The sequence below is a fragment of the Homo sapiens genome, chromosome 16, assembly GCF_000001405.40.
Source record: "Homo sapiens chromosome 16, GRCh38.p14 Primary Assembly".
NCBI lineage: Eukaryota > Metazoa > Chordata > Mammalia > Primates > Hominidae > Homo > Homo sapiens.
In genome coordinates this window covers 8,290,085-8,300,180 of record NC_000016.10, presented here as the reverse complement: position 1 = coordinate 8,300,180, position 10,096 = coordinate 8,290,085, and the positions used below count along the sequence as shown (strand labels likewise).

The following is a 10,096-nucleotide window of genomic DNA, read 5'->3' as shown; positions in this document are numbered from 1 at the left end:
ACAGGTAATAAGGTAGGGCTGATGTTAATGGTTTATGACACGAATTCATTTTGAGAACTATATGCTTCACCCATCGCTTTTATTTTTCAATTTAGATCTGTTGGGTATTAATAGCTTTGGGGCTGTGTTTTCCATTTTAATCTTGCTTTTTCTCATTTCCAAGTAGATTCCTTCTTTCAATTTACGCAAACATTAAACCTCCATTTCCTGCAGCCCCGCACTCCCCTGCAAAATTCTCTCTGCTGACCTTGTAAGAAAACTTTTTTTAAAGTATGAACTTTCCTTATACCCAGCCTAACCCCACCAGCCACAACCACCTTCGTTTTTAGCCACCCTCTGCTGGTTGTAGTTTCTCACTGACACGGCACTTTGGGCTGCAAGGAAGCGATGACTCAGACCAACAGAGGCTTCAAATACACAGGTCTTTAATATCTCACATAATGAAATGTCCAGAGGTAAACAGTTCTAGGTATGTTAATTGGGAGGCACTATAATTTCAACAAGGATACAGATGCTTTACATCTTTCTGGTCTACCATTCTTAGGGTATATTTCCCCTTTCCCCCACCCTGTGCAGTGTGTCTCTCCATCATAACAAGCCTGGACAGTTTCAGGCATCCTGCCGTTCATAGCCATGTCTACAGGGAGGAAGGGGACGTTTTTCCTGGCTTGTTTCTTTTTACGGGCAGAAGACTTTCCCAGAATCCCCCCATTGATCAAAATGGAAATGCTTCCTTTCCCTTGATCCCAACTGGCCCACATGCCCAAATCCATCGCTGTATGGTATGACTTCGATCGGTCTGCACGAATCATAGTTCATTTCCTAGGGCTGGGACTGTCCTGTCAGATCACGTTGTTGGCTGATACTGGAATAAAATCTAAGAGGAGTACAGGTATTGTAGCAGCAGAAGCTGTTGCAGGTGATAGCTGTTTTTCAGCTATGTGGCTTTGCTCGTGCTGTGTGCTTTTCTGTTGCATCTTCTCCTGCTGCCCCTTGACCTCAAACACAGGGAACACCTGGACTACCTGGTCAGACTTTAAGAGACAGCACAGCTGCTACCTTCTCCGGATTGTCCTCTTTTCGTTGCTTCTCACCTACAGTCTCATAGTGCTCCAGGCATATGTCAAGCACTGCATTTGTAATGCTATCTTTATGATAATTTAGTTTTCCCATTAGATTGTGAACTCTGAGGGTAGAGGCTGAGTCTCACTTACCTGTCTTACCTCACAGCCTGGCATCCTAGAACAAATGCTGAGTAAAACTGCTAAAGGGATGAAGGATGAGTGCCCCTGAGGAAGGGGAGGTTGAGATATGCCCTCAGCTTGTTCCTGCCTTGAAATGTGTCCTCTAGAACATCAGGCATCAGCAACATAGAGGTACTTGTAGTTCCCCAAATAAGCCATGCTGTTTTGTGCCCGTCTGTCTTAGAATATTTTGTTTCTACCACCTGCATACTCTTACCTGGGCTCCCACTCCACTGCTCAACCATTGCCTTGGGAACTCCCTTCCATTATTTAAAAAAAGCCATCTCCAGCATGAAGAGGCCTTTTCTGGAAATCTCCCTAAAATCTGAACACTCTTTTCTACATACCCCTATTGCACTTAGCATGTACTTCCATTGTTTAGGGAAAATTTAAAAGTCTTTCTATGTATTGGTTTCCTCATCTGATAAAAGAAATGATGTCTTAGTCAGTTTGGGCTGCTATCATAGAATACCATAGACTGGGGCACTTAAACAGTGAACATCTATTTCTTACAGTTCTGGAGGCTGGAAAGTCTGAGATCAGGGCACCAATATGGCTGGATTCTGATAAAGGCTGTCTTCCTGGTTGCCACACAGCCGCTTTCTTGCTGCGTGCTCATACGGCGGAGGGAGAGAGAGAGAGAGAGAAACAGAGAGAGAGAGAGAGAGAAACTGCATGCTCCAGTCCCTTTATACCTTTCTAAGGGCACCAATCCCAGTATGGGGTTTTCACCCTCATGACCTCACCCTACCCCAATTATGTCCCAAGGCCCCGCCTCCAAATATCATCACATTGGGGATTAAGACTTCCACATATACATTTTAGGGGGACACAAATTTTCAGTCCGTAGCAAATTATAAAGTGTTTGTTTCTAGTCTTGAGGAGTAAATGGGGTTAATGCATTCATATCTCTTAGGAGAGAGAGCACTTGATATACATGAAGCATTCAATGCATGTTGTTGTTGATGCTGGTGGTTGCAGCATGCACCCCCCTGTAGCGCACATACCTGATTGCTGTTTTTTCTTCTCCAATGTGCTATGGGAATTTTGCAAGTAAAGACCATATCTTGCCCATCACTGACTCCCCAGCTCCCAGATGAGGCACAAAAATAGTGCTCAGATAGTTTGCTGAGGACTGAGTGAGTAAAGATGACAGCTTTCCTTTTGGAAGAATGGCACCAGCCACCCTTTATATCTCTGGAAAAAGCAAAGAGGAAGAGGAAGACGCAGTGGGAAGCTTGCAGATTACACAGTAGGAAGTGATTCCAAGACCTTCCGACCCCCTCCCCGAAACAACAGCACCAACGTACACTAATAAACATCTTTGCTAAGGTCATCTCTCTGCATGTTTTGGAGTGGATTGAAAATTAGGAGAAGAAAAACCTGTAAATCACGGAATCCAGGGTCTAGTCCTTCTTTTTCCATAGACTCTATAAATGGCTTTGGGTGAGCTTTCGCTTCTTAGTTCATAAAATTCAGGAAGATGAGATGAGTGATATCTCAGGTTCTCAGCATCTCAGACATTTAAAAATAAATAAAATACAGAATAAAAATTAGACACATTGTGGTTCTAAGGACTTCATAATCTTCCTTGAAACCCATAGATGGGATCGGACAATCATGAAAGGTTGCAATTAATTTCCACAATGACATGACTTACCTTGGGACTGGGGGCTTCATAGACCCAAGACAAGTGTGGAGAGTAGGGCATGGATCCAGGGATCCTTGGTGTCTGGCCTCATCCTGTTACCCGAGAATGATGAGCCCTTTGGCAAGCTATTGAAATGCCCTAGGCCTCAATGTTCTCATCTGTAAAATAAGGAGATAGAACCTACTTTATAGGGTAGTTATAAGAGTCAGGTATGGACGTGGTACATGGTAAGTCCCCACTCCTCCACTATGGCTATTAATGGAGAGAAGAGTCCCTGTTGATTACAGTCATCAGGGGGTGGAATTTGAGATGGAGCTTGAAAGATGAATACTAATCAACTGGACACAGAGAGGTGAGGAACGAGATGTATCCAAGCCTAGTAAATGACGATGATGTGAGGGTAGTGGTGGTTTAAATGTGTATCATGCATCATTTGATTCTCAAATCAACTGTATGAAGCCAGTGCTATGATTTGTCCCTTTTTAAACGTGAGACAACATGGTTCAAAGAAGTTAAGTAACTTACCCAACATCACACAGCTAGTATGTGGCTGAGCTGAGATTGGAATCCGTGTAATCCTGCTGCAGAGCTCATGTTCTTAACCGCTATGTTCTTCTATGTTTATAAGAGTCTGGGAAGAGCTTTGACTATCAGGCTAACATCTTTGCACAGTTAGCTGGCATGATTTGGTGGCCTTTGAGGAAGAGCAGAGGTCGGATGTGGTGCCTCACACCTGTAATCCCAGCACTTTGGGAGGCGAGGCGGCTGAATCACTTGAGGTCAGGAGTTTGAGACCAGCCTGACCAACATGTTGAAACCCTGTCTCCACTGAAAATGCAAGATTAGCTAGGCGTGGTGGCACACTCTTGTAATCCCAGCTACTTGGGAGGCTGAGGCAGGAAAATCACTTGAACCCGTGAGGCAGAGGTTGCCGTGAGCCAAGATCGCACCACTATGCTCCAGCCTGGGCAACAAGAGCGAAACTCCATGTAAAAACAAAACAAAACAAAACAAAACAAAACAAAACAAAACAAAACAGAGATCGTCTAGAGCCAGGCTCCAGTCCCCTTGCTGCGGAGGAGGAAGGGCATCAGCCCTCTCTACTTTGAGAAGCCTCCACAATGCCCAGGTTGCCTGATGGCTGAGTCACAGCTCTCATGATCCTGGCTGGCAAATTGGAGACACCCTTAATTGGATACTGAACAAACTCTGCCTGCTGCACAACGGCTCCAACAGAAGAGTTATAGCTGTTTACTGTAACACACAGACAGTCCTATTAACAAGAATGATGGGAGGCTGCTCCATGGCATTACTCTTAGCAAAAGACTTGAAAAATATGCTTTGTAAATGAAGGCACTCCAACAGAGAAAACATCTAACACTCCCTCTCCCCACCCCCACCCACCCCACCTCTTCCTGGGGAGACTTTGCATGTGGAATCCTTTATACATTGTTCAAAGTTCCATATTCTGACGACGTTCATCAATAGTGGTGCCTATGGCAGGGAGAAGCTTGTATCAACTGACAAATGTAGACAAGGCAGGCTGCTTAACCCAGGAACAGTGGGTCACAGCACAAACAGGGAAATTGATGGTGCCAGCCATATTTCTGCGGGAATGGAGGCGTAAATGAACACCATATGTCACAGCTTATCACGTACGGTAGGAGGGAACTGTGAATGGCGCAGCGTGGCCTACTTAGGAATGCTGATGGATCATTCGCAGCCAGCTTTTGTTCCAGACTGGGGTTTGTCTTGTCTACAGACTTTGGGGCATCTTCAGGGTGACAGCCATAGTGTGCTTGCCTCCTCAGCTCCAGGGATTGGCAGTGGGCTCTGCTGAGTGGAGAGGGACAGAGCTGTCCAAGTCATAACCACTGGTTACAGGGCTGAATGTACCATTGCACCCGCTAGGCTCATGGATCTTCGTAGGAATACAGATTATGCAATTCCTAAGAGGAAAGAGGATGCCAGGGCTTTGGCATCAGTTATAATAGGTACCAGTCTCTCATTTATTAGCTTGTGGGGACAAAGTAGTGACCTGAGTCTCCAATACCTCACCTAGGAAGTGGGAACGTAACAGTACCTCCCTCACAAGATCAAAATCAGGATTGACTGAGTTAATATGCAGGGAGCTTTTCAAAGAAAGTATGGCAGCCAACACACACCCAATAAATGCTAACTGGAGTGCAGTGGCATGATATTGGCTCACTGCAACCTTTGCCTCCTGGGTTCAGGGGTTCTCGTGCCTCAGCCTCCTAAGTAGCTGGAATTACAGGCATGCACCACCACACCTGGCAAATTTTTGTAGTGTAGGATTTTGCCACATTGGCCAGGCTGGTCTTGAACTCCTGGCCTCAAGCAATCTTCCCACCTCGGTCTCCTAAAATGCTGGGATTACAGGCATGAGCCACTGCACCCATCTCAAGAATGGAATGTTTAAAATGCTTACTTTGGAGTCCCAGTTCTGGTAACAAGTTAGTTATTCATGGGATCTTGGCAAGTCACATGATCCCTTAGACTTAGGTTCCCCTTCTGTCAAATGGGGAAATTAATAGATAATATCCATAAAGAGCAGGATAGAGTATCCTCACCATAGAAAGCCATTGGAGACAGGTGGTCTTTGATATTTTCTGAATGAAGAGGGACAGCCTGGGGCAGAGACCTCCACATTGTCTGCAGCTCTCAACATCCATGATGCCATGGGGAGGAATAATATTAATTTTCTGGGGAATTATGTTAGCTCTCTCTGGATTGGTCAGAGATGAGTCTAACCTTCCTCTCAAGAGAGAGGAAATGGAGAAGATAATGCTAAAATAAAATAAAAATAAAGTGTATTGAGTATTTCCTGTGCATTAGGCACCTTTGAGCATCTCATTTAAAACTCACAACAACCCTGTTAGTTGTATTATTATCCCTATTTTGCTGACTGCCATAGACACCAAAAGCTCTTGAGCACAAAAAGGAGAGGAGACTTGGCAGGGGATTCTGAATCCATGGCAAAGTCACCATGGAGGGCCCACGTCGCCCATCCCCGCTTCCACCCCTATTGGAGAGGCATCAGGAAGCCTCTCTGGGAAACTTTTTCCTTTTATATCAGCTAGTTCAGAATGGCCATACTTTTATTTATTTTTATTTTTGATTTTTGTGGATACATAGTAGGTGCATATATTTATGGGGTATATGAGACGCTCTGATACAGGCATGCAATGTGTAATACTCGCATCATGGAAAATGCGGTATCTATCCCCTCAAGCATTCGTCCCTCCTGTTAACAATCCAGTTATACTCTTTTAGTTATGTTAGAATGTACAATTAAGTTACGATTTACTATAGTCCCCATATTGTGCTATCAAATACTAGGTCTTAATTCATTCTTTCTAACTATCTATTTTGTACCCATTAACCATCCCCATCTCCTCCCCACCCCCTCACTACCCTTCCCAGCTTCTGGTACTCATCCTTCTACCCTCTATCTCCATGACAGAAGGCCATTTTCAAGCAAGGCTGGACAAGTTCATTCTGTTCCCAGCCAGACACCCATGCAGCAATAAAACCGCCCAAGTTTCTGATGAGGAAAATTGGCCTTAGTCTTTTTCAATGAGCTCACATCTAGAAAGAGCTACAGCAGCCGAGAAAGGCTGTAACAGCATCAGGGGTGGGGCTGGGTGAGTCAGCTCAGGGGTTTTCCTGTCAGGAGCCTGTGCTGGGGAAGATGGAGGGAACGGACACACACACCTGTGGTCTGAGGGGGAGAAGTCTTGGCAGCCAAGGAAGACCAGCAAGTGACTTCAGACAAGTCTCGTAGTCTCCAGAAGCGAGGGGTGCATCACAGCCATGAGGGCCACCACCACCTCCACTCTTTATTTCAGTATGACACTGTAGGTGAGATGGAGTCCTTAATGCACACACATTTTCTCATGCATTCCTTTATTTATTTTTTAAAATTATTAGGTCATAATTGTCTATATTTACAGGGTAAACTGTGATGTTTTGGTATATGTCTACACTGGGGAATGGCTAAATCATATTTTTTAACATATGCATGATCCCACATACTTACCACTTTTTTTGTGTTGAGAACACTTAGCAATTTTCAAGGATACAGTATATCATTACGAACTATAGTGTCCACGATGCACCACAGATCTCTTGAACTTATTCCACCTGTCTAACTAATTTGTTTCTTTTTTTGCATCCTATAACCAACATCTCCCCAACTCCCCCACCCCCCAGCTTCTGGTAATCACCATTTTACTCTGTTTCTATTGGTTCAACTTTTAAAAATTCTACATATGAGTGAGATCAGGAAGTACCTGTTTTTCTGTGTCTGGCTTGTTTTACTTAACATAATCTCCAGGCTCATCTATGCTGTTGTAAATGATAGAATTTTCTTCTTTTCTAAGGCTGCATAGTATTCCATTGTGTAATATATATTACATTTTCTTTATCTATTCATCTGTTCATGGACACTTAGGTTTGCTTCCATGTCTTGGTTATTGTGAATAATAGTGCAGAGAACACAGAGTACAGATATCTCTTTGATATACTGATTTCATTTCCTTTGGGAATATACCCAGTAGTGGGATTGAAGGATCATATGGTAGTTCTATTTTTAATTTTTTGAGGAACCTCCATACTGTTTCACATAATGGCTGTACTAATTTACATTCCCACCAACAGCGTGCAAGGATTCCCCTTTCTGTACACCCTCGCCAACGCTTGTTATCATTTGTCTTTTGGTAAAAGCCATTCTAACAGGTGTCTCACACATTCCTTCCCTGCTTTTCACTGCCAAAGCTTGCTCACTCTGAACCTCCCAAGTTCACACAGCCAATAAGTGGCAGAGCCAGAATGAACACTTTCCGTTTCTCTAAGACGTCAAGCTTTTGCACTTGCTTTTTTTTTTTTCTTCTGACTGGCGCAACACCATCTGGTGAAAGTATAACACATCCATCCCACCAATGTGTGCCACAGAGGCAATCTTAAATTTTGGAGTGGCCATATTTTAAAAAATGAATTTTCACAATATATTTTATTTAACCCAGTTATCCAAAATATTGTCATCTCAACATTGGAGCAGTATTCAACATTATTCATGAGATATTTTACATTATTTCCTTCATATTAGGTTTTAAAATTCCGCATGTGTTCTACACTGATGGCAACCCCAATTCAGGTTGGCCGTGTTTGAAGTGCCCAGTGGCCACATGTGGCTCGTGGTGGATGTGTTAGACAGGACAGGTCTGGAGGGCAACCTCCCAGCTCACAAGTCAGCCCCTAGAAAGCCTTTCCTGGCACCCTAACCAGAGCAGCAAACCCACTCCCCTCCATACCTTCTATATCACGTCATATATCGTCATATGCATATCACTTCCTGTTCCTCTTGTTACTATTGTTGTTTATTTTTATTTTTATCTGTCTCTCCTAACAAAATGTAAGTTCCCAAAGGAATTTATTGCTCTGTCCTTTGCATGTAGAACAGTGGCTGGTGCACAGAAGGAGCTCAGTAAACATAACTATGTTTTGAACAGATGAAATGAATGGATTTCTGCATAAAGGGATGTCTGAATGCACAGCTAATAATAAGGCTTATGTAAAGGACATAGGGGTACAGGAAATCTCTTACTTAGGATTTCCTTGGCCTCCCCAGGCATGGTCTCCCCACTGCAGTAATTTGTAAGCTGGAAGATTCCCCCTCCAGCCACCTTTCTATGTATTCCAGGAGTTGGTGGTGTGCCTTCTTTTCTAAGTTCTTACAGAGCAGGTACTTAAAGAAAAAGGAAAGATCCAGGGTCTGTGTGTATCTATTCGTCATCTATGCTAATTTGCATTTAGTTCTTCCATAATTTGCAAGGTGGGAAAGCCCTGACATACTATTGCAGCCTGGGAAGCCAGGGCTGTTTATCAGCTCCTGCCCGCTGCAGCCATTGAATAATTCTTGGTCACCTGTAAACAACAATCTACTTGATTCATTAAATTTGAGGTTTACAGCCATTCTCCATGCAGATGACTTTGGTACAGCAGTCTGGGATGCAGGATCTCACACATCTGGAACTCCTGGAGCTGTTCTTTGCCCCTCGGTCCATGACAAAGGGATGGATCAGCTTCCTTAGGGGAATGATAACCTTGGCTAGTCAAAGCTTGACTTAGAGAATCACTGAGCAATGTCCTGTTGTTCTTCCACGCAGACCAGCGTGTTGATGTTTATACAATATGTACACCCCTCTGGGCTTTCCTGTAGCCTAGAGGCTTGTATTGGATTTGTCTATCTTCTACATTGGACACTGAGCTCCTTGTGGGATGGAAACATGTCTTGTTCATCTTTGTAACTCCAGCTCCTAGTCCAGAGCCTAACACATAATATATGTTTTGTTGAAAAAATAAATGAACCAGGAGAGTCTACAAAGCATTCATTCAAAGTTCTTTATTGAGCATCTACTATGTACTGAACCAAGTTCTAGCACTGAGACAAGTCAGTGAACAAAACAGGCAAAAATCTATGCCCTCATGGTGCTTACCTACTACCAGATAGTTGAATTAATTTTTTGAATATTTTCTTTTTCTAAAGAATGCCAAAAACTTATTATTTTCCTGTTATTATTGCAAATTCCCTTGTAAGAGTGTTAAGAACTTTTGGGGTTCTTTCTCTGCCAATTACCATCTTATGTATTTTCCTATATGTAAATGAAGATAACGTGTCTCCAAAGAGTAGTTGGGTGAATTGAATTAGGCAGTGCTTGTAACTGTAGAGTGCAGTGCCTATCCCAGACATGATAAGCATGTGGTGAGTGTTTTTGGTACTAGGGAGTCCTGTGTTCAGTAGGGAAGGAGGTTGAAGAGTGAGTTTGGGTCTGAGCCAAAGAAATAATGGGCTGGTCCAGGTGGCATATTTCCAGAGACGAGAATCTCTGTGTAGGTCTTGCATGGCAGTGGGAAGGGGTCAGGGAAGCCTATGAGGTGCCATGGCAATGACCACAGGATTTCTGGTGTTAGGCAATGAAAACTTGGATGCTGTGGAGATGCAGAATTGCCAAGAACCAGGCAGCAGGTCCCTGTGAGCAAAGAAAGCCACAGGAAGAGCCACTGTCTCCATTCTCCCCAGAACGGTTGCCAGATGCTGGTAGAAAAGGAGGAGGGTGGGACACTCTACCCCATAGCTTGGTGCCTCCCCAAAAGTGTGGATTTCTGGAACTCTGGTGGG

The 10,096-nt window shown here is 43.7% G+C and overlaps 1 long non-coding RNA gene across 2 annotated transcripts; it reads right to left on the bottom strand.

The window, feature by feature from the left end:
* Positions 1–408: 408 nt before the first annotated feature.
* LINC02152 (long intergenic non-protein coding RNA 2152) lies at positions 409–3,750 on the bottom strand. 2 transcript variants are annotated; one of them, NR_184339.1, is made up of 4 exons: positions 3,421–3,750; positions 2,628–3,053; positions 1,758–2,441; positions 409–877 (listed from the first exon to the last, which is right to left on the bottom strand). It is a non-coding gene; the product is annotated as a long intergenic non-protein coding RNA 2152 (long non-coding RNA). The 2 variants fall into 2 exon arrangements; NR_184340.1 differs by having other exon boundaries at positions 409–3,053.
* Positions 3,751–10,096: the final 6,346 nt, after the last annotated feature.